The sequence below is a fragment of the Homo sapiens genome, chromosome 20 (assembly GCF_000001405.40).
Source record: "Homo sapiens chromosome 20, GRCh38.p14 Primary Assembly".
Taxonomy (NCBI): Eukaryota; Metazoa; Chordata; class Mammalia; order Primates; family Hominidae; genus Homo; species Homo sapiens.
This window is the reverse complement of record NC_000020.11, coordinates 2,117,674-2,143,168: the sequence shown is the minus strand read 5'-3', so window position 1 is coordinate 2,143,168 and position 25,495 is coordinate 2,117,674. Positions and strand designations below refer to the sequence as shown.

Genomic DNA, 25,495 nt, shown 5'->3' with positions numbered 1-25,495 from the left:
AACGAGGGCTCTGGAGCCAGAACGGGCAACTGAGTAAACAGGAGCTGCCCCTCGACTGTGGGGGAATTTAAGTCCTCTGTTCCCTGGTCTCATCACCTGTACCTGCGTCACAGGCTATTATGAAGATTAAATGAACGTAAAACCAAGAAGAGTGCCTGATCCTATTAGTGTTGGCTATTATTTGGAAACTGCCTTAGTGCCAGGCCTCAGGAATAAGACAAGAAGCCTGCCCTTCAGTGGCTTATTCTACTGGAGGCCTAGAATACAAGGGCCCACAGAGATTAGTCTTGGGCAGCGCCCACTCTGAGCTATCGGATCAGTGCTAAGTATAGCGCTGTCCTGGGCAGGGCGGGCCATCTAGGGCAACAGTGCTCCAGCCTCGTTGCACATGGAATCATCTAGGAGGTTTTTTGAGACAGGGTCTTGCTCTGTCACCCAGGCTGGAGTACAGTGCCTTGATCACAGCTCACTGCAACCTTGAACTCCTGTGCTCTAGTGATCCTCCCACCTCAGCCTCCTGAGTAGCTGTGACTACAGGGCACATGCCACCACGCCAGGCTAATTTTTATATTTTTAGTAGAGACGACGTTTTGTCATGTTGTCCAGGCTGGTCTTGAACTCCTGGGCTCAAGTGATCCACCTACCTTGGCCCATCTAGGAGTTTTTAAAGTGCCCGAATGACCAAAGCAGACAAGTCTTTCACTGTGCGTGCCTTTCTTTGTCAGGCAGAGCCAGCACCGTGGCTGCCATGACTTGCCACCTGTGCGGGCTGACAACACCAGCTCGTTGTCCTCAGCTCCTGGGAAGGGACCTGGCCAGTCCTCCCAAGAGGCAGCAGGATAGGACAATATTGGATAATTTACTGTCTGTTGGCCTCAGTTTCTCCCTCTGAGCACTGGGGACTCTTGGTTGAGGTCTGGGTGGAATGACTCAGGTTCCTGGCCCACAGCAGGGACAAACATACTCAATGACTCTACCCCTTCCTGGCCAACTGTCCCCAACCAGAGACTATAAACGTGTTAAATCTGAACAGGCCATGGTTCTCAGCCACGCAACCACTGAAAGTGTTTCTGGCTGGTGAGGGTGCCCCGCACACTGCTGGAGGAGGGGATAAGGCTTCTGGAAGGTAGTCTGGCACTGTTTTTAGGGCTTCAAAGGTGTTTAGATTGGTAGCTCCCTGAAATTCTACTCCTGAAAGCCAAGCTTAACAGATAAACCTAAATATGAAAAGAACTTTATGGATAAAGAAGTTCACTGAAATATAACAACTCACAAGTCCAAAAATAAGGATTAAGTAAGCAAATGATCCTTCAACGCACTGATATACTACAGAGGAAATGAGATCATTGCATGACATTTTGAAGATTATGACAAAAGCACTTCCCTGGGGTAGGTGGAAAAGGGTAGGTTACAAAGTTGTGTAGCGCACAGCATGACCATAACTATGTAAAAACACAAACCCCTCAGTGTAGGAAAATCTGACAATAAATACACCAACATGTTGTGCTTGTTGTGACTGGATTTTCCTCTTCCCTCACTTCTGATTTTTAATAATGAACACACACCAATGTTATATTTTAGTTTTTAATAGGAAAAATAGGGTACTTTAATGAACAAGAAAAGCTGGCAGCTCCAATAGAAAGGTCCAGATGTGGGGTCTTGTCTGGACTCTTCCATGCCCAGTGGACAAAGGAGAGCTTCCACACTGCCAAACGGGAGGTTAGACTATGTGACTCCCTGCTCTACTGCCCAGGGAGCGGGTGACCAAGAAAGTGGGTGTGGCTGATCTGGAAAGAAAATACAGGATTTCTCGGGCCCAGTCTTTCACTCTGCTGCTTCTGTTCCTTGGTCTGTTAATTCCCCTCAAAAAAATCCACTTGTGGGTCTTGTATCCCAGTTTTTGACTTGGAAAAAGAAAATCATCATAAACATATTCCCTGATGATTCAGCAGCCATCTCAAACTCTAGCTCTATTTAGCATGCCTATTGCTTTCTCTCCGTGCTTTCCGTAGACACAGCAGATCAACCTGAAGATGGGGGAAGAGGGTATTTAGGGTAGGCCCTCACCATCTGAGACATTAAGACCTTGTGAAATACGATGAGAAATTATACAGCCACATGTGATGTGCTAAAATAATCTTTGGGACCAGTTATGACTTTCCAGCATTCCTTTCCTCCCTCCCTGCGGACAATCTCCTGAAAAGGATGCCCATCAGCAGGAAGGTAGCATGTGGCAGCTGAAAAGCAGTGTTGGCAAGGAGGCAGGTTCAGAAACCAGAGGTTCCTTTTTACATAATAAACTAGCAGAACACAGTGTGACTACAGAAGGTCAGACCAACAGCACAGCACTCTGCAAGAACTCCTGAGACACCAGCTTGTAATGACCGCTGTAATCACTGGGTCCCATGCCAGGAAGTGAAGCTGACATTTCCCAAAGGCTCCTCCCTGCTCCCTCTAGCTCTGGCACTGGCTCTGGCCCTCCTGTTGGAAGCCTCAGAACAGCCTACAGGTCTGAGTCTGGTTCTCTCTTGTGGGCACAAAGAAGGAAAATAAGAGGGCTCTCTACTGGGGAGAGGATCTTGGCTTGGGGTTCTTTTCCCATCTGCCATCACAGAAAGAGCATTTTTCCCAGGGAGCTAACAGCACAGTAAGCTCACCGAAGGTAGTGGAGGCGCTTTCTGTAGCTATGAACAGGAATGGCTCAGACCACATGGTTCTGAGTTTAAGCACAGACCCTCCCAGGTACTTGTGGGCACAATAAAGGGTGTAGGTCTCAGCCCCAGTGGGCCCTTGGGGAGGCCTTAGGCTTGTGGTGCTTCATCCTAGCAGATGCCACATCTCAGCTCCCTGACTGCTCAGGCTGTGCCTGACTGCCTGGCTACCAGCTTCTACCGGGGCTCTTCTCATTCCTCTCTGTGGAACCCCTACCTCTGACCAGAGCCCGCTCCTTGAGGGCAAAAATCACACCTGCTAAGCATAATGAAAAGTGGTGATGTGATAAACCTGCAACTGACATCTGTAGTGCCCTTCCATGATTACTGTGAGGAGGGATTTGGCCAGTTTTCACAAGAAAACAGGCCCAGAGAAATGGAGCAACTTGCCCCACACCAGAGTTGCTGAGCAGTAGAACCAGCACTTAATCCAAAGTTTTCCAGCTTTACTACCCAAAGTCTCTGCACTATGATAGTCTTCAATCAGTGCTTCCAAAGCCGGCTCAGCAATGGTTCCAGTAGCTTGCACCTGAGATGACCTTGGGGGTGGAAGGTGTCAGTGATCTGGGAAAATGTGCTATGAATCCTTACCTTTCTCATTTCAGCTCTTGGACCAAGTTCTCTCAGTGCACCCCACCTTCTTATTTCTCTGTAACTGGCGTAACAGCAATCACTTATTGAGCAGTCTGTCTGTGCAAGTTCTAACTGTGTTATAGGCAACAACCTCGTAAAGCAACACTGCTTTCCAATCACTGTTAAAGGATCGAGTGTTTTACATCCATTGCCTCATTTCACCCCAGCAACCCTAAGAGGTAGGGGTTATCGTCCCCCTCGTCTTAGAGATGAGAAAACTGAAGCTCAGAGAGAACAGCCTCATAGACAGTAAGTGGTAGAGAAAAGGGTTTAACTCAGGGCAGTCTCACTCCAAATCCCCTGCTTTTGACATGTAACGATGCAAAATCCCTTCCTAGAGAAGACAAGAAGAGTCTTAAGTGGAGTTTAAAACCCATCTAATCCCTTCATTTATAAATAGACTCACTCAGAAAAAAGGCTCATGGAAGGCTTACGTGCCTGTGCACAGGTCTAGTGCTCGGGGGACAAAAGGGGACATGGTGCCAACCAGGCAGTGAACGGTCTTCCAGCAAGCTTCTCTGCCAGTCAGGCAGGTGTCTGGTCTGTTTAAGAAGACTGAGAAACTGAACTACTTTCATGAAGGCCATTAGCAGCTTGGAGAACAGAAGCCTGGGAGATATGAGGGGAACATGCACAGCAGGATGGGGCTGGAGACAAGGATGGCTCACGTGTTCACCTCCTTCCCCTACTCCTCAGCCTGCAGGCACAGAATACCTTGGTGATTATCCCTTACTCTAAAAGGATGGCCTTCCTACTTTATTAGTGTCAAAATGTCATTACCTTTTGCTTTCTTTTCTAAGACACAGGGTCTCACTCTGTCACCCAAGCTGGAGTACAGTGGCACAACCATAGCTCACTGCAGCATTAAATTCCTGGGCTCAACAACCCTCCTGCCTCAGCCTCCTGAGCAGCTGGGATTATAGGTACATGCCACTACACCTGGCTAGATTTAATTTTTATTTTTGTAGGGACGGGGTCTCATTATGTGGCCCAGGCTGGTCTCAAACTCCTGGCTTCGCTCATGCAATCCTCCTGCCTTGGTCTCCCAAAGTGCTGGGATTATTACAGGCATGAGCTACCATGCCTGGCCTAAAACATCATTTCTTTGATGAAATGATGATGAAAGTAAGTAGGAATGGTTTTAAAAATTGCTTCCCTCCTGGACCTGCCTCCCCAGTTTTTAAAATTGCACCATCTTAGGAAATGTGGAAGTCTGGTAACCACGAGGTTTATCGTCACTCCAGTGCTCCCTCAGGGAAGAACACAGGCTCTATGGCAGACAGTCCTGGTTCAAATGCAAGCTCTGCCATTTACTAGCTACTTCCATGATCTCCTTCTCCTAAACTAGAAAATGGGCATGGAACTCTTTCCTCTTCAGGGGCCTGCTGTGAAGAGTGAAGAATTCTTCAAGTAAATTGCCTGTCATGGCACCTGACCCAGGGTGGGGCATTCAGTAAGATCGATCTTGCTGTCATTCATGTTAATGGTCATTTTGGTTCTTAGGGTATCACAGACTGGGACTTCAAACCCAAAGCCCAATTTTCTCTTTCTATCCTGACTCTCAGATTTAGTTAATAGAAAAGAAAGTCATCCCATTGGCATACTCATAGACTAAGGTACAGTATAAACTCAAAGTGGGGTATTATTGGGTGGCTAGCCAAGAATTCACTCCTACCTAAATTCACCCGCAGTCCTGTGTAGTGGCATTATCACTGTAGCTAATGATACCTATGACATGCTAGCTGCCGTGCAAACTGAATATGCAACACCTCATTTGTCCAAAGGACCATGTAAGAATTATCCTCATTTTACAGATGAGCAAACTGAGGCTCAGGTTATTAATTTTCAGCATATCGTGCTGTGGAGCAAGCAGGCCTCACAAGTGCACAGAGGCAAAGTCATCTGTCAGGGTCACAGACGGCAGTCCTCTCCTTCCTCTAAGTGGGGTTAGTCATTCTTCACTTGTTTAATACACCAAAGCATCTGGCTTTTCACATTCAGACATCAACATGCCAGCCCTGGGGGTTCGGTGGCCCCAGCACGAATGTCTCCTCCAATCACTCAGAGGCACCAAGGCCAGGGAGTCACGCTTCCTGATGCATCATTCCTCTAAGGCTGCACTCCCAACTGTGGTGCTTAAAGTAGGGCAAAAACAGGGATGACTGTGCTGTGAACGTGCCTGTTGTCAGGGTCGAAGGAATGGGAGTACTGACAAATGGGATAACACTGTTTTCAGTCTTCGGGTATACAGAACGGGCAAAATGTTAGGAAAAAGAGGAGCAAGAGGGCAGAGATTATACAACATATACAACAGGAGCTTCGCAGTGCTCCATGACAACCCAGAAGACCACAGGTCCACGCCTTACGACATCTGAGCCCTGACCAGGAGACCAAACCAAGGCAGCTCACCCACAGGCAGATATCCAGGGGCAGGCCCCAAATGCAGAGGAGCGTGGCTTGGAGGTGGTGTTCTCTCAAGGCATGGGCTTTGGAGTAGGAAGATCCAAAATTTACATCCCAGCTGACCTTCACCAAGTCAGGGTCCCCCGAGCCTCAGTTTGCTCAGCCTAAAATGAGGAAATGTCTACTTTGCCGGGTACAAAGACCAGTGATAGTACACATAGCAGGTGGAGTGAGGTGCACAGGAGGTACTTTAATAAGCTACAACAGTGGCTGCAAATCACATCCAAAAAAACACAAAACCAAACCCATAAAACCTCACTGCAGTCACTTGCCAGGGCAAAAATTCCAGAAAAGATGCCTTGGCCTCAAGTTGATCTTCTCTTGAGGTGACAGCCTCCCTCCTGCTTTGGGTCTTCAGCTCCTGCTGATCTGGCTACCCCAACTCCCACCCCCTATCTGTCACTCAGATCGCATTCACCCTTTGGGTTCCCATCCACACGCCTTCCCCAGGAAACACTCCCAGAGGGCCCAGTCTCTATGGGAACTCTTCTGTCCCCCTGCCCAGTGAAAAGGCATGGACGACCTCAGATCCCACTAGCCTTGTCGTGTGCTCCAACCTTACCATCTTAGACCCTGAGCTTCCTGCAGGACAGAGAGAGTCTGCTGCTTTTCTTAAGCCTCTCAGGTGACCAAGCAGCAGTGCTGGGTTTTTAGGAAGAGCTCAAATACCAGGTGATAGCTAGAAACTGGGAATTAGTACATAGCAATAAAACTTCACAGAATCATTCATTCCACATGATAGGGTTTTAACATAAACACATGATTATAAAAAAATCTCTGCCTTTGGTTGAGTTCCTGCATCACTGCCAAGTGCTCTGCACACGTTCCCACTGAAAATCCCGGCAAGCCAGGTGTGGACAGTGATGCTCAGAGAGCTGGGCCACTTCTCCAAACTCCAGCAGCTGGTAAGGGACAGAGCTGGGACCGTGTCCAAGTCGGAAGCCCATGCTATTTTTCTACCATGCTACAGGGTGCTGCTCCCCTCTCTCACACCTTCAGAGCTGGGTGAGAGAAATGAGGCATGCAGGGATTACAGATTTTCCTGACATTACATAGCCTATCAGTTACACAACCAGGGGGCTCCTGTCTCGATTTCAGCTCTCTCTGCTACTATTCCCCTTACTGACTTCTCAACAGGAGGCCTTCTTTCAAGGGGAAGAAGACGGCCAACTTTGGCAAATACATCTGTTTCACGTGGAGGGGTTCCTTGAAATCCAAGTGTGGCTATTTGGAGCAGGCCCGGCCTCAGAATGTGTCCCCTGAGTCTAAGTTAGGTATGGTAAGAGGTTAATGAAAAGAGTAGACTTATGACTGGAGCACTATGGTTTAGTCTGAAAGTATGGACTTCCCAAGATGGCTTTTTTTTCTGAGATAGGGCCTTGCTCTGTCAGGCTGGAGTGCAAAGGCATGATCCTGGCTCACTGCAGCCTTGACTTCCCTGGCTTAAGTGATCCTTCCGCCTCAGTTTCCTGAGTAGGGACCACAGGTGCATGCCACTGTGCCCAGCTAATTAGTCTTATTAGTCTTGCTGTCGCCCAAGCTGGAGCGCAGCAGTGCAATCTCGGCTCACTGCAACCTCCACCTCCTGGGTTCAAGTGATTCTCCTGAGTAGCTGGGAAGACAGGCGCGCACCACCACGCCCGGCTAATTTTTGTATTTTTAGTAGAGACAGGGTTTCGCCATGTTGGCCAAGCTGGTCTTGAACTCCTGGGGTCAAGTGATCCTCCTGCCTTGGCCTCCCAAAGTGCTGGGATTACAGGTGTGAGCCACAACGCCCTGCCCAAGATCTTAAAATGCACAAAGCCTCTTTCTAGACCCAACCATTTGTAAAATGGCAAATATATCCTATAAGTCTCTTTAGCTAACAAGTGGTCCAGGAAGTGGAATCCTGGCTGAAGTCCTGCCAGATATGTTGGACTGCTGGAGGACTCCCATATGCCACATTCAAAACACATGGATTGTTGAAAGAGGCGGCTGGGGCAGCCCTACAAGGAACTGAGCACCACCAGCCCCTGCTCAGCAGGGGTCCACCCTTTACCTAGCCACCCCCTGCCACCATCTTCCACATTCTGTTCACCCACTTAAGTGTATCCAGAGGAAGCCAGTCCCACGGATTCTCTGAAAGGCAGACAGACTGTCGCCCAGGCTATAAAAGCACAGATGCAATCATAGGAATGTGCTCCCAGGAGGCAACCTACTAAGAGGAACTGAAGTGAAACACGGGAAGATGAAGGATCTTGCCTGTTGCTAAGAGTAAATGTGGGAAACCTGGTTCCAGGCCCCTCTAGCTCTCTCCCTACTCCCCCTCTGGAGACTTCATTTCTTCCCCTGCCAAATGAAGGACCTGGGGCCAGCACAGGGGTTCTTAACCTGGACTCCTTCTAACCCCAAGGATGCACAGGTTCTGCAAAGCCCCTTAGGGCTGGGAAGTTTAATGCATATCCCAGGCATTTTTTTTTCTTTTCTTTTTTGACACAGAGTCTCACTCTGTTGCCCAGGCTGGAGTGCAATGACACAATCTCGGCTCACTGCAACCTCCACCTCCCGGGTTCAAGCGATTCTCCTGCCTCAGCCTCCCGAGTAGCTGGGATTACAGGCGTGTGCCATGACGCCCGGCTAATTTTTGTATTTTTAGTAGAGATGGGGTTTCACCATGTTGGCAAGGCTGGTCTTGAACTCCTTACCTCAGGTGATTTGCCAGCCTCGGCCTCCCAAAGTGCTGGGATTACAGGCCTGAGCCACCGCGCCAGGCCCCAGGCATTTTTTAAATGGTAGAATAACACACCATTCAGGTTCTGAGAAAGGAACATGGCACAAAGAATACTGAGAAGAGGCCCTCTATAGGCCCCTTATTTATTAAGGCAAAAACTAACTGGACAGTGGCACATGAGTGCTCTAAACAGGGCACCCCCAGCACAGGTGAGACGTACAACTTGTGTGGCTGGGGCTGAGGGAAATCAGGCCAAAGAGTGTTTGGAGGGAGGCAGACTTCAGCTCAATGCACCAGAGCCCTTTCTAACAGGGCAACAGTGAGGTCCTCCTCCTCCTTGAAAGTTTCTAGCAGAACCCGAGACCCGCCCCATCTTTTTTTTTTTTTTTTTGGAGACGGAGTCTCGCTCTGTTGCCCAGGCTGGAGTGCAGTGGCACCATCTCAGCTCACTACAACCTCTGCCTCCCGGGTTCAAGCGATTCTCCTGCTTCAGCCTCCCCAATAGCTAGGATTACAGGTGTGCACCACCACGCCCAGCCTGAGACTCCCCTTTCAAGTGGACGAATGTTATCAGGAGGAGACAGGCTCTATGCTGCGTCCCTGAAGCTCAATCCACGCCCCACTTATACAAGGAAGAGGCACAAACACTCTTGCAGCAACAAGTGGCAGGCCCATGTAAGGCCCAGTAAGTCAGCAGGGTATGACTTACTGAGGGAAAGGGTCTGAACAAAGCTTAAAGCCGAGACAGCATGCTGCTGCAAAGAGATGTCAGCTGTATCTCAAGTGTGCCAGAAAGTCAGGGCAGTGGAGCAAGCAGTTACTGTGAAAGCTCCTAGACATGAAGACTTGCTTAATATTGTTTTAAACAATTTGATTGCTTGGAGTATACTGCCAAAAGTGCTAGTATTAAAAAGTTTGCCAAATGCACACAGAGAAACAGTAGGCAAGACTGCAGATTCTGAGATTTGGAGGTCTCCGTGGTGACCAGCAGGCAGGGCTGCACACTGAGTCATCTTGTCTGCGTCTGAGAACCCAGACTCACTTAAACCTCGTCTTTCTGGCCTTGGGAGGTCAAGAGGCAATAGGGCACTGGGATGGTAGTTCCTCTAAGCACTTTAATTAGTACACAGACACTGGGTGAAACCCAACACCAACTAAGGGGAACTATTTGTCTCTAGAAACAGCCCAGGTAATTGGCAGTTAGCTGTGTGGATACCCTAATTCCCCTCCTCAACTTATTAAGTGTGGGGCAGAAAATAAAAGCTGCCAACTGCCTCAATTGGTCCCCAGAGACAGGTTCAGTTGTGGCTGCTGTGATTAGCAAAGAAAGAGCCCAAGGGAAAGGCTGAGGTCCTCAGGGGCCCTTGCCAGGAGGAAGATGCTAAGGTGCCATTACTAGCTAAAGGGGAACGGTCACTCTTCCATATGGGGACAGAACAATTTGTGGTTATAAGAAAGATGCCAAGAAGGTCACACCCACAGAGAGGTCCACATGGACTTTTGGTTACAACAACCAGTTAAAGCCCACTAAGCCAAGGGGAACTCACTGGAGGCAATTGCTAAGGGGTTTGGAGATCTCTTTGGGAGAAAGAATGCTATCACAAATTGTTAGTGAGAAGCAAAGTGAAAACGTGTGATTAGCCTATAAGGATTTGGCAAAAACAAACAAAATAGCAGGATGGGGGCAATACACAGAGCCACCACTGACTCAACTGTCATCAGGAGCTAGGAACTGCGCCGGACACAGCCTACAGTGAGCAACACTTACTGCACTGACCAGACAAGGAAATGGGGGCCCAGAGAAGGTAGATCACTTGCCCAAAGCCGCCCAGCTAGTAAGTAGGAGAGCTGCCGTTTAAACCTAGATTGACCAGTCCAACAGGTTCAACAGCAAGTCTGTTGATGTCTTGACACCAATATAGAAGCAAAGGTTTCTCATCTTCCTATTCAGATGTTACCCTTACCGCCTTCCCATGCTCTGGAAGGTGCCTGTGCAGTCTCACACTTTTTGGAGACAGGTACTGCCAGTGTGGCAATTCATCTTCCCCTCCTGGGGGACTGACAGTTCTCCCCTCATTGTTACTGACTCACCTGCCTAAAATACAGCCTTGCTCACCACCACCCACTCACCCTTGTCTTTTTTGGCAGGATGAAGTTCATTCTCCTCAGGCTGGCATTCAAGGCTCTTGGCAACTTAGCCCTATTTAGCTTTCTACTCTAGCCTCTGTGTGAACCCACCCAGGGATAGGCACTCTTCACAAATTCCAGTGTTCTGTCTTTGGACGTGCTATGGCCCCTGCTTCAAATATCCTAATCTGTTCTTCTTTCTTCAAGGTCCATCTTAAGTCATGTGTCCTCTACTTTGCCATCACTTACTTCTTTGGCAAAAGCCAGCTCCCTTTTCTGAGCTCCTGGTGGCCCTGAGACAGTGCGGTGCATATGGATTTGCTCAGATGAACTCTCTTTGGTAGCTCGATGGAGATCATGAGCACTGGAGCTCTGGCCTTTGAGCTGGCATGAGCTAGCCATGTGGCCAGTGGTAAATCACTTCCTTTCTCTGGAGTGGGAGTTGGGGGGACAACAATACTTAGGATGCAGGTGAGGATTTCACAACATTTAAAAAAGAGTGGGGAGTACTGACGCTGAGCCTGCATAGGCCTAGGCTAATGTGTGGGTTTTTGTTTTTAAGCAAAAAAAATTTAAAAAGTAAAAAAATTACTTTTTTAAAATAGAAAAAAGTATACAGAATAAGGATATGAAGAAAGAAGGGCCAGGCACGGTGGCTCAGGCTTGTAAGCCCAGCGCTTTGGGAGGCTGAGGCAGGAGGACAGCTTGAGCCCAGAAGGTCGAGGCTGCCAAGTAATCCAAGATCGTGCCACTGCACTCCAGCCTGGGTGACAGAGCGCGACCCTGTCTTATGTTTGTGTTTTACGCTAAATGTTAATGAATCAAGAAATTTTTTAAAAATTTTAAGTTTAGAAAGCAAAAAAGTTACAGTAAGCTAAGGTTAATTTATTTTTAAAGAAAGAAATTCTACAATAGTGTACAGTAATGTCCTAGGCCTTCACACTGACTCATTACTCACTCACTGACTCACCCAGAGCAACTTCTAGTCCTGCAAGCTCTATTCATAGTAAGTGCCCTATATAGGTATACCATTTTTAATCTTAAAAAAAAAAACAAAACTTTAATATAATTTTGTAGAGATGGGGGTCTCCCTCTGTGGCCCAGGCTGGTCTCAAACTCCTGGGCTCAAGTGATCTTCCTGTCTTGGCCTCCCAAAGTGTTGGGAATATAGGCATAAGCCAGCAAGCCCAGCCATTTTTTTTACCTTTTATGCCGTATTTTCACTGTACCTTTTCTATGTTTACATGTTTAGACACACAAACACCATTGTGTTACAACTGCCTATAGTAGTATTCAGTACCACAACATGCTGTACAGGTTTGCAGTCTAGGAGCAATAGGCTCTATCTACCATATAACCTAGGTGTATAGGAGGCTATACCATCCAGGACTGTGTAAGAACACTCCATGATGTGTGCACAAAGACAAAATCGCTTCACAGTGGATTTCTCAGAATATATCCCCGTCATTAAGTGACGCATGAGTATATAGTGAATGCAAGATGATCGGCAAGCTGCTAATTCTCAGTAACCACTTGCTGAATTTGTATAAAGACCTAGGTCCCCAGGGGGTTCCAGGGAAGGGGGTCTGGTGAGCAGGCAGATGACACAACCTCTACCCACGCCCTCTATTGTCATTCAAACCACGGTGTGACGGGATGGCCAAAGGAGTGACTCCAAAGCCCCTTCCCCACTGGCTGACCGTCCAGATAAGGTTGGAGGGCCGCCCCTCAGCTCCGGGTGCTTGCACTTAGAAACCTGAAGATTACTGAAACCAGGGACTACAGACCTTCTTCCCCCATCTCCCTCCCCTGTATGCCTTTCCCTAACCCAAAATAGAAAGTATTTCCCAATTTACAAATTAAAGTAGTTCTCAAAATCAATTTTACAGCCAGCAATCATGACTCTGATGTTATATAACTAGTAAAAATAAATAAATAAAGAGAGAGCGAGATGCCCACACTGGAGAGCTGCCCCGTGACAGGATCACCAGGCTGCCCATGTGACAAGACCCCGCACAGGTTTTCAGCTCTAAAAAGCAAAACAGTACAAAAACAACAAAACGCCATGTTCTTGAAACACAATTATAGCAGAGAGCAGATGCAAATAAGGACAGAAGAGCAACACATCATAACCTAATGAGAAGCTGATTACCAAGAAAAGAACAAAACGCAGCAAGACTCAGCCATGAACGCAGCCCCGAGTCCAAGGGACCATTCTGTGCCTGTGAAGGTGCTCTTTGTTCGCAGCAAAACTGAGATCCAACAGTCCTCTCAGAAGACCCAGATAAACGGGCGCCACTTACCACAAACACCCACGCAGGAGAGAGAGTACGGTCTCATGTCCGCACGTCCAAGACTCATTTGTGTATCTCCCTACTCCCCTAAACCGTCTCCTGCTGCAACATTCACTCTTACATGGCTCTGTTCCCACCACCCAGTCACTCAAGCCACACATGATGGAGTCAGCTCTGAGCCACTCCTTCCTACCTTCCGATTTCAGGCCATCTGAGAGCCCTTTTGAACCTCCAAAATGCACCTTGAATTCACTCCCACTTCACCATCTCCCCTAACCTGGGCAGCTACAGCCTCCTACCTGGGCTCCCTGCTTCCACAACTGCCTCTCTCCAGTTTTACTGGCCACAGAGCAGCCAGTGACCTCCTCCTGGCCTCCCACACCTTGACCACCGCACTCCAGCCGGCTCCCTCCTCCTCTGCTTGGCAGAGGCCTCATCCTTCAGGTCTCGGCTTCAATGCCACCTCCTCAGAGAGCCTTTCTCTGACCGCCTTGGGCAGGTCCTCATTTTCTGCTATTTTCTTCATTTACACACAACTGAAACTGTACCTATGGTACTCTCGTATGACACGTCTCTCAAACTCAGTGCCTCAAGGGTGAGGACCACGTCTGCTTTTTTCACCCATGTGTTATTAATAGAGGCACCCACTACAGTGCCCAACACACAGTTGATCAAAAAATTAACGGGTCCCCTTGGGCATGCATGTTTTCCTTTTTATTGGTGGGGGAGGGGGAAACACATGAGCCTGCACACATTCCGAGATGCTAATTCTCGCTCTGCCATCAGCGTGCCCGAGAACTGGCATGAAAGGGCAGCAGGAACCAACGCCTGTGTGGTACCTGCTGCGTGCCTGGCAGGCCTCTGCCAGCTTTTCATTCCCGTTCTATGTAATCCCCACGGCAATCCCTCCAGGTGTTAGCAACCCCCCTTTACGAAGGCAGACTCGGAGGCTCAGAGAGATGCCCAGGGTTTACATGGACTGAGGATGGGAATTCTCATCTCCACGGCCCAAACCTGGCTCACAGCGGGTGCTCAATACATGTCTGTGGAACAGAAAAACGAAGTTTGCTAGTCACAATTCAAAGTCATGTTTAAGATTCCACTTAGAGGCCTGGTGCAGTGGCTCAAGCCTGTAATCCCAGCACTTTGGGAGGCCGAGGCGGGTGGATCACGAGGTCAGGAGATTGAGACCATCCTGGCCAACATGGTGAAACCCTGTCTCTAATAAAAATATGAAAATTAGCTGGGCGTGGTGGCATGCACTTATAATCCCAGCTACTCGGGAGGCTGAGGCAGGAGAATCGCGTGAAGCCAGTGAGCCGAGATTGTGTCACTGCACTCCAGCCTGGCAACAGAGCGAGACTCCACCTCAAAAAAAACCCCCCACAGATTCCACTTAAGAGACCTAAGTTCCACCTGTACCTCGGGGGGCTTCCCTGTTTCCTATGCCCTGTTGCTTCTCAATTTCTCCTTCCTCTAGGGGTGACCTCCCTACCATTCAGACTTCACAGGAATCCTGTGGTTGCCCTGACAGCACTCCCCTGAGATCACCTTGAGACATTCATCATTATTATGGCTCAGAAGTCCACTTCCCCAGGGAAGCCCACGGAGAGGTTAAATTGTTTCCTCCTACTCCCACAGGAGTAAGAGGCCACAGGGCTTCACCCTATCCTGAAGACAAATGCACTGAGAGCCTGAGCGGGAGTCAGTTGTCCCAGGGTCCCAGAACCACATCCACCATGGAACTAGGAACACGCCAGGACAGAAGGAACGGGGGAAAGGGAAAACAGTGGTCCTTCAGGTACCTTGGTTCTCTGGAGGAGTGACTTGTCCAAGTCACAGTGCTAGGTAATTATACAATTACTTATGGAATTATAGAAGCCAGGACCTTACAGGCCCTCCCGATTCTCACACCTAGGTCCAAGCTTTTTGAAGGTAAAAGGGTAAAAGGTGAGGGCAATGGTCTGCATGTCTAAAAGATGGCAGGGTGGCTGACTGCACATTTACCCTCTTTTGCCAGAGCAGTTCTGAAGCTTTTGTGTTCATCAGCCATCACCTGGAGAGCTGATACAATACCACTCCCCAGTTTCCAACTCAGTAGGTTTGAGGTGCAGCCAGAAATACGTGTTTCTAACAAGTTCCCAGGTGATGCTGCTGGTCTGGGAACCACATCCTGAGAACCACTGGTGCTAGGGTTTCTCACTGACACTGTGTGTTGGGGGGTGGGATCAAGTGAGGAGGAGCAGAGAGGACACAAGGGGTTGAAGATATCTTCACCAACACTTCTTACTCATGACATCCTCTGTTCCTGCTGCAGATAAAATAAAAGCAATCTTTTAACCATGGTTAAAACTTCACCCAGGTTCATATAATTAGGCTCAAGACTCACATCTGGATCTCTCTATGGCAATGATCCCAACTCAGTTCTAAGAGCAGGAGCGAGTCTGGCATTATCACGACGGCTGTTGTCCTGCTTACAGGACTCCAGAGCAGCAGGAAGGAGCTATGTGCTCTCTGAAGGCTTTTCCTGCTATACCTGTTGGTACCCTGGCCCCTAAGATGCTCAGGTCAGAAAAGGGAGGAGGACCTCTGGACCATGTCAGTGGTGTCATCTGGATTTCAGTTTAGGCACTTGGCCTAAACTCCAAAATATTTTTAAAAGTTAAAGTTAGCCTGTTTGTCTGGGGTGTGGTATAATCACTTATTTCTGCTGTTCTATGCAAACCAAGGGTTCCTTCCAAACATCATCAGATCCAAGATGCAATCTGGTTACTAACAACAGAGTCTTTACTTGTGACTTCTAGTTCTCTTTCTGTCTGGTACAAGGCCGGGCTGTGCTGGTAATGCCCATACAACCTGCCAAGATCTGACAACACTATACTCCCAACTCCATGCCTTAGATTTGCCCTAGGCATGCCTAGCTTTCTGAGAGGGCTTGTCTTAAGCACATCCAAAAAAAGTAGAAAAAAAAAAACAAAGGGGTGCTGTACATGGTGAAGGGTTTTCTTTCCCCACAAAGATGGAAGTAAATGCAGAATGAGTCAACTGGTTCACATCATCTTTGTGATTTTCCCATTAAAATAGATAATCAATACTAAAACCCAACACGATATAACAAAGCCAACCTGCCTCCTGTTACAGCTACACTACCAGGCCTCCGAGTTCAGGGGAAAAAAAAATAAAGGTGACCATTCATAAGGCGACTTCCCCAAGCCCCACATCAAGATGCTTTTTGCAGCCTGGAAAAATGGAAGCATTTTCATCTTCCTCACTATGGCCTATGGAGTGCCTGGGTGGCCCTAATCCATTCCTCCCATGTCCCTAGACATCACTTTCTTTAATAAAGAAACAAAATATAGAGTTCTGACCTGTGTACGATGCAAACTGAGTTATAGCTTTCCCCTGGCACCTCTAACTGAAAGTGAAATTTCTTTAAAAGTTGGGAAATTCATTGCAGTGTTTTATGGTATTGATTTATTTTAAACTTGGTTGGCAGTTTTAAGGCCTGCCATGCCTCTGAATCCTAGAAACGCTGGAGGAGATCTCCATTTCCTCTGATTTTGTAATATCACAGCGGACTCACTAGTGGAAATGAAAAGAGGGGCTGGGAGCACGAATGCGGCTGCCCTAATCAAGACAGAGCCTTGGGCACTCTCCCTAGGTCCTGGGTCCACAGTGTATCTCCAGTTGGGAATTTCACTACCTGAACAGTAGTACCCTTTCCTCCTGTAGCTGAGAATACTGTAATGAAACCAAACCTGAGTATGTACCCTGAGATGTGGCTCCTGCGCATCCCACCTGGCTTACAAGGTACCCCTAAAACCTACCTTCAAGAACCAGCCTGGAATACCACCTCCTCCACTCTTTCCTGTCCTCCTGTATCTCTACTGAGCCATCTATAACCCATTACCACCAAGTGTCCATATCTCATCTGCATTATTAAACTAAGTTCCTAGGAGACCATATTGGGGTCTAAACAATCAATGCCTCCACTGGGCAAGTGCCTACCATATGCCAGAATCTGACTTGGCTCCAGAATCTTTCGACACAGGGCTATGGGCAGCCACATCAATTGGAGTAAGCATGAGTGACGGAATCCCTTGCTTAAGTCAGGATTCAGTGAGTGAGCTGGAAGATTTGTCAGAAAGAAACAGAGCAACCGCTGCCATTCTGCTGGGTCCTCATCAACTTTAAAATCCCTGGGTTCACTCAGAATGGGCTTCTGCCAGGGCACCAGGACCACAGACACGTATGATGCCTTTGGCTCTTATTGGAGCCCTTTCCTTGCAGCTGGTGCCAGACGCTGGCCTAATGACAGCATTCCCTCAGTGCTGGGTGCTTTCCCAGCTGCCGGTGGGTGGAGGTGTGCTTTAGATCTCCTACTTTCCAAACTTTTGGCAATTTTGACCTGGCTGCATATGTGGCTCCTGCCTTCTCTGCTGCCAGACCTCGGTTATATGGGCACCTCACACTATCCCAGCCTTGCCTCCTCTGCCAATGTTTGGGGCAGTCATTGTAACACAGGAGGAATCCACATGCAGGCTGACCTCGCCTGAAGGGATGGCTGGTGGCCCTGCCACAGTGTGCCTGTGCTGAAACCAGTGTCAGACTGTGAAGGACACCCATGGCAGCCCTGGCTGCTTTACTGTATGGTACTACTGGAGGGGAACCCACCATCTGCCTCAGAATAGAAATTCATTAAAAGTGGCTTTAAGAGGCTGTAGAATGCAGAACGGAGCAGTAGAGTTTCCAGACAGATACATCTCGTCTCAAATCCTGGCTCTCAAAACCTTAGGAAAGTGATTTTCTGCTTCCTTATCTGCAGAAAAGAGGGCACATAACAGAATAGCTAAGCAGATGATGTATGATAATGATACATGTAAAGTGCTTAATTCAGGGCTCGGAATAAAAAGGCAGGGTCTCTGCCCTGCACAAGTCAAGGGGTCCCTCAGAGCAGGTTTTGATAACCAGTAGCTGTTGGTGGGAGTGTCTGCGTCCCTGGGGTAAGAGGAAATGGGAGTTGGAAGCACCCCTGAACCATCAGGCAGCTTTGCTCACAGCTGGACGATTACAAGAGCCACTCTGATTTGCCCAAAGGGATGCTATCTAGGTTAGGTGGCACCAAGGAGGCCATGGAGGAGGAACATGTGAGCAGCAACTGGGCCTTGACGTCAACAGCCCCGGGCCAGGCCTGTCCCCTCATGGATGCTTTCAAGTCCTGCAGAGCTGCAAGGGACAGATGATCCCTGGGGGGCCATCGGCCCCATTACATAACTGACAGCTCAGCTTCCTGCTGTTGATGCGGCAGAAACAATCAAGAGATGGCAACAGCAGGTCACTGGGGAGCTTGTGGGGACTTACAAAAAAAATAAAATACCAGCCTTCCCCACCTGGGGAGGAAAACTCCTCAGAAAACACCAGCAGAGAGATGAGGCCCCAAGGGACATGTCTCTTTGTATACAGGTATCTAGCGCCACTAGGGTCTTCACAGTTGAAGACTGAGCTTCAATTTCCTGCGAGAAAAGAGAACCAAACACTCTGACTCTTCACTCATAACCCCCACCTCTTGTGAAGCTGTTTAGTGCTAGTGAGATGGGTTGTGGCAAAGCTGTGACCCCTACTATATGGGCAGGGACTCAAAGAACCTCAGGGGTTCTGGATCTGCCTGGATTAAAGAATTGATCATCATCAAGAGATACCACCTCGACCCCATGATCTCTCTGCTCTTAATAACACCTCCATTCTTACCCACTTCGGGGTACAGCTTAGCGTTTCCCTTTTCCCATCCTCCCTTTGGGAAATTCAAGGCTCCACCAAAGACTAAGTAGGGATCAGCTTCTGGGGTGCAAAACCAAACCACTGACTTCGACCCCTTGGCAGTTACACCTTCCCATGAAGGAAGAACCTTCCTTGCTTCTACTTTCCTTTGGGCTACCTGGCTGCTTATCACCATATTCTGGACCTTTGCAGAGTAGGAGAGGAACTAGCTCCTCTTGAAGCCCTACTAAGTGTTCCATACTGCGCATCTCATAATGCTCTGGGCTTTGTGGGCAGGAAATTCTATCTACTTTGATGCTCAGTTATTTGTTGAATTCAATTAGGAAAACATTTTAAATTTAAAGATGATTCAATGAGGCAATAAACCAAACTGGTTAAAGCCATGGACTGACTCCTGGGTTCAAGGCTAGGCTTTACCTCTTCTTAGCTCTGTGACCTTCAGGAATTTACTTGAAAGTAAGTAAATGAATTATCAGTCATAAAGCACTCAGCCCAGGGACGACCATGAATCACTGCCGTTTTGGTCATCTTTGGCGCTGCTGCCCTTCTTCACAGCCTAACCCCTCAGGCTGCCACACTCCTCAGCCAGGCACCAGGTACAGGCAAGGGAGGGCAGTCCTGTAAGGCAGGAGCTAGTTCCTGGCCATCCTGAGAGCTGGGCCAGGAAGTCATAGAGTGGACCTATTTAGTACTGGCGGTCCCAACTTCTCACCTAAAACGATTTTAAAATTTACCCTACAGAGACTGCTTTGAATACTTTGCTGTTTCAAACAAACCATGTTAATTACGCATTTCTTTTCCATTTTTTAGTATCACTGCTGATTAACTTGGTAGCTATAGCGTGCGTAACAACACAGTTGCGTGTAATTCCAGCCCAAAGCAAAAAATTGGTCATTGAATTGGGCTTCTATGGCTTCAACAGGCAATATACTCTTGCCTGTCAGATAAGCTGAAAGGGCTTGTGAATTCCTGTCTTTGATTAGGGTTGTACTAGGGTTAGATCTTGCAAAATAGAAGTAAAATCTGAAGCGCAGGTCAAGGGGCCAACGCAGGTCACCCAGTACGTTAGCTGAGAGCCACATCTTTGGACCCCAGGCCAGGGATAAATGCATCAACTATTACTTCAACAGAAATTGGGCCTGATTTCCTTCTCTGATGTTAGGCAGCTACCAAGATCTCATATAGAACTAGAAATACTTTCTGTGACCCCTCAGGTCACACCAACATCTGATTTCCTTCAGCAGGCCTTAGCTGCCCACTCCAAAAAGACGTCATTCGAGGGCTTTGGCTTCAAAAGGCCCTAGTAACGGAGGTTTGTATATCAGACAGCAGACTTGGCCATGAATGCAGATTCCCTCATCCCACAACACTCTCCCTGGTAACACGTGGGCGGAGGCACCTGGAACATCAGTTTGGCTGGCTTCCTGCATGGGATAAAAGGCTGTGGCTAGCTGGTAGGAGCCATTAGGAATTATTAAACATCTTTCAAAAGCGACAAATAAGAAAGAGATCAGACCCATCACTGAATGGTCTTTAAAAATAGATATACTTTTCTGGAACAAGTGATTGGACAGCGTGGGCCTTGACTACAGCTTTGTTTCAAAAGAAAAGCTATTTGGCAATCCACAAAAGTGAGGCTACCAAAGACCACTGTCTTCAGAGGGAAATGGAAGCCAATACTTCTACCTAGGCCAAAGTATGGATCTAAACAATGCTACTGTATTACAATTAATTCAGACTGTTTACATAGGGCACTTTCACAACCTCTTGTGATTCCCCCAACAACCTCAATAAGATATATAGGATCAACTCCATTTTATAGATAATAAAACTGCGGCCCTGATAAGTGGAATAATTTGCCTAAGGCCACACAGTCAGGAAAACGCAGATATGAGACTCCATCCCTGCATTGTTACTAGACACCACTTCTTTCAGGGGAATCCCAGGTTTCCAACCCAAAATGCATTTCCTTTTATTTTTGCAAAAAAACTGAAACTAGTTAGTCCTGACTTAAATGCGACTCTGAAATCTACAATCCTAAAACATTGAGGTGTTTTTTCATCTTGGTGGTATAGGGGTCAAGTGTGTTTACTTATGCAACTAGAGTTTTTTTGTTTTTTTGAGACAGAGTCCCTCTCTGGCGCCCAGGCTGGAGTGCAGTGGTGTGATCCTGGCTCACTGCAACCTCTGCCTCCCTGGTTCAAGCAATTCTCCTGCCTCAGTCTCCCAAGTACTGGGCCTATGGCATGTGCCACCACACCTGGCTAATTTTTGTATTTTTAGTAGAGACCAGGTTTCACCATGTTGCCCAGGCTGGTCTCAAACTCGTGAGCTCAAACAATCTGCCCCTACTTGGCTTCCCAAAGTGCTGGGATTACAAGGCATGAGCTACCACGCCCAGCCTATTTTAATTTTTAATAGTACAAACATCCACAGATATAACCCAAAACAAAAGCTCTTTGGAGTCCGTAAATTCAAAAATGTAAAGAGGCTTTCAGACAAAATACTTTGACAACTACTGGTCTATTCTTCCACTGTCTCCAATTCCTCTCCTCTTCCCCTCTCAAATCCACTCTAGTTACAGGTTTCCCCATTACTCCACCAAAATTGTTCATGAGTACTGATGCTTTCCCATTTACTAAATCCAATGATCAAGTCCTCTCAATCAACTAGCAGATGATGCCACGGCTGGCTCCCTCCTCCTCTTGATGTCTTTTCCCCTCTCTCTGGCTCCTTTCTTTCTTCCCATCCTCAATGTTGCACCACCTGGAGCTCAGTCCTCTGACCTCCTCTTGTCTATACCCACTCCAGTACTGTGGCAAATCTCTAAATTTGTATCTCTAGGCTGGACCCCTCCCTTGAACTCCAGACTCATCCAACTGCCTACTCTACATCTGTAGTTGGATTCTAAATAGGCATGCCAAACTTTCAGATAACTAAAACCTAACTTTGTCCTGCCAACCCTATTCCCCCAATGTCTTCCCCATCTTATTTAATGGCAGCTCTATTCTTCCCATCACTTAGGCTGACACCTTGAAGTGATGATTAATTCCTTTCTCTCACACCTCCCATATGATCCGGCCGGAAATCCTGCTGGCTCTGACTTCAAAAAAATACCCAAAATCCAATAATCACTTCTCTGTTACATTGTTTCAAGCCATCGTCATCTCTCACCTGGATTATTGCAACAGCCTCCCATCTTATCCCGTTATTTCAAGATGCAAAGTGATCCTTTCAAAAGAGCAGATATCACACAGCTGAAAACATCCCCATGGCTTTCCATCTCATCCAAAAACACAAGCCAAAATCTCTAGAGGCTTACGAGGCCTACTTGGCTCCTAGTTATCTATCTCTTCCTATACACTCCTTGCTCACTCTGGCCAACTTTCAGGACCTTCACAGTGGCCATTACTTCTGTCTGAGATGCTCTTTCCCCAGAAATCCTTGGGACTCACTCCCTCGACTCCTTCTAACATTCGCTCAAAGGTCACCGTCTCTGGGAGACCCACTCTGATATCTTCCATTTAAAAGTACATCCCCACCCCTCCCCACCACCCAAGCTTCAGATCTCCCCTACCCTGCTCTACTCTTCCCATCCTACCCTCTCACCGCACCCAGCACCGAGCACTTTCTTGTACATTACCTATGGGTACTGTCTTCCCAACAGAACGAATGTTAAGCTCCATACTGCAAAAACTTGTCTGTTTTGTTCACCGATGTATTATCTGTGTCTAAAATGGTACTTGGAAAGAGTTTCCAAAGAACATGTTGAATGAATAAATGAAATTAGCTTGTCCATCTACAAAACTTGGCAGGGGAAAGGGAGGTCAGACTCAATGTTCTTCCCAAGTCAAGCCTCAGATTCTCTGACCAGCCAGATACAGCTCTTCTACAGAAGCTGATTTGAAGTTTCTGGCAACACAGGGTTTGGCTCTGGTCACAGACCTGGGCCCAGGCCCACAATTCTAAGTGCCCACCTAAGACAGGGGAGGATAGGCTATGGTCAAATTGGCACCACCAGTACTGTAAAGATTAGCTGTAAGAGCCACAAAATGAATTAACAAAACAGCCTGGGACACTCACCAGTAACCATATTCCTAATCTTTTCCCCTCTTCTCAAGGTCGCCTATTTCTCCTACATGAAAGAATCACTCCAATTTAGCCAAAACTGCCCTGCAAAACAGCACAAATCTCAAGTGTGGATATCCACATGGAAGCCCTGATCTCAATTAGTTATGACAACCCCATAATCGTAACCTAAATTCAGGTCCCTCTTCCAATGACAACCTTCCTATGCCAGAGCAAATCTGAATTTTAAGAGGTCTTTCAAAAGCAGAAAGCATGAGATGGAAATGGGAAGTGACAGCACAAAATACATTTAAAACACTGTCTAGCCAACCCTTTTGGTTTCTAATATAGCACTACCCTAAACCTAGCTTTGGGGACTGCTGTTCTCCTACCCACGGGTGGTAGGCCCAATTGGTCCAGCACCTGGAACACACGTTTGTAGAATGAAAGAATTAAACCTAAGTGACTCACTCGAGAAATACATTCACTGAGAACACTACACATGAAACCAAGCTCAACTTGGAATGAGCCAACCCCACCTAGAAACCAGAGGATAATGAAGGGAAAGGGAGGGAACCCACCCAAGTGATGGAAAGCTCCGTGCCTTATGGCTCCTGAGGCTTCTTGTGACCACCAGGAGGATCAGCACTAGCTCCATCACCTCATCAAGACTTCAGCACAACGTAAGAGCAGCTTACTTCTAGCTCACCATATTAAGGGAAAAGGGGGTGGGGGATGCTTGAATAAGATATACCCATCCTTAACTTAGTAGGATCTGGGGTAAATTACTTAATCCCTTGCAGGGTTGTAAAGGTGAAACAAAATGGTTCATGTGAAACTACCTAGCATATATGCTGGTCAATTTTTCATCTTATTTCTCTTACACACACATCAAACTTCAGTCCAACTAAACTATTCTGCTGTTCCTATAAATACCTTTGGGTTTTCCAGTTCAATTTCTGTCTACACTGTTCCCTGTCCTCTCTAATTTCCACATGCCTACTTCCTCATTAACCCAAATTGGTCTAGTCTCTCAAATGTGCCAGGCTCTCCCTGGTTTCAGGTCCTTCGCAGAGGTTGGTCTATCTGGGATGCTCCCTCACCCCCAATTCCCTCCTCTTGACTCTGTGCATCAACACCCGAAAGGTCAATTTCCCTGAATACCTCTTCTCCTTAAACAGCTATAAAACAATTATGATTTGAAGAATTAGACCTAGTGACTCATTACAAAAATACCTTCATTGAAAATACTACACATGAAACCAAGTTCAACTTGGAGTTTCTCTCCCTAATTAAGATGCAGAATTCATGAAGATGGAGAAAGTCTCTGATTTGGCTTATCATGTCACCCCAGAGCCTAGCACATACAGTTATGGGTCGCTTAACAATGGGCTGCTTAACGATTTCTGAGAAATGAGTCATTAGGCGATTGTTGTGTAATGTCAAGAGTGTACTTACATAAACCTAGATGGTGTAGCCTACTACACACCTAGATGACATGTATGGCCTATCATTCCTGGACTACAATTCTGTACAGCATGTTACTGTACTGAATACTATAGGCAGTTGTAACACAATGGTAAGTTTTTGTGTATCTAAACACAGAAAAGGTAACACATACACCATAATATGCACTATAACATTACAACAGCTACATCACTAGGTAATAGGAATTTTTCAGTTCCATTATAATCTAATGGGACCACCGTCATATAGGCCATTCCTTTTTGACCAAAACGTTGTTCATGCGGAGCATGACTGTACTTCACAAAGGAAAACTCACAATAAATTTTTTTTTTTTTTGAGACGGAGTCTCGCTCTGTTGCCCAGGCTGGAGTGCAGTGGCACGATCTCAGCTCACTGCAAGCTCCGCCTCCCGGGTTCACACCATTCTCCTGCCTCAGCCTCCCGAGTAGCTGGGACTACAAGTGCCCGCCACCACGCCTGGCTGATTTTTTTGTTATTTTTAGTAAAGATGGGGTTTCACTGTGTTAGCCAGGATGGTCTTGATCTCCTGACCTCGTGATCCGCCCACCTTGGAATAAATTTTTTAAATAAGCAAAGACTTCTACATAAATATTCACTAATACATTCTTTATAGTATCTAAAATGGAAAAAATCTGTTTTCTAAAGTAGGAGAATGGTTAAATTATGGTACATATAATGGGAATGTCATACAGTCCCTGAAAAGCCATACTTCTAAAGTATGACATGGAGGAATGCTCAGATTAGTAATGAGTAAAAAGAAAAAGACCTTGACCAACTAGGGCAAGATCTAAACTATGTGGAACCGGATGTGTGAGTAGGTGGGATACAATCAGAGATAGTGTTTATTCTCTGAAAACCTGTCTACCTCTTATGCACATTTTCTACAGTGAGCATTTATAATGATGAGAAAGAGCGTTTCTAAAAAAAGGGAGACTCGGCTTAAACGCAACCTCCTCTGAGAAGACTTCTCTAGACTTTCCAACGTGTACTCAGATAATTGCACGTTTCTCCCATCAAGATATGGGGGGGATCTTTGAAAAGAAGCACTTCATTTTCTTCAACTTTGTATTCCCCTGCAAGTTCACAGGGCCCATGCCAGGGTCCAGAATGAAGAACCCGGTCCAAGAAGTGGGCATACAGAAAAAAAAGAGAGGCTGGGCATGGTGGCTCACAACTGTAATCCCAGCACTTTGGGAGGCTGAGACCAGCAGATCGCTTGAGGT

At 47.1% G+C, this 25,495-nt stretch overlaps 1 protein-coding gene and 1 long non-coding RNA gene across 3 annotated transcripts in view; both read right to left on the bottom strand.

The window, feature by feature from the left end:
- Positions 1 to 25,495, bottom strand: part of STK35 (serine/threonine kinase 35) — a 46,729-nt gene that overhangs the window by 5,387 nt on the left and 15,847 nt on the right. The window lies entirely within an intron of this gene.
- On the bottom strand, positions 1,571 to 25,482 carry LOC124900458 (uncharacterized). The gene is made up of 2 exons (XR_007067499.1): positions 17,613 to 25,482; positions 1,571 to 15,249 (listed from the first exon to the last, which is right to left on the bottom strand). It is a non-coding gene; the product is annotated as an uncharacterized LOC124900458 (long non-coding RNA).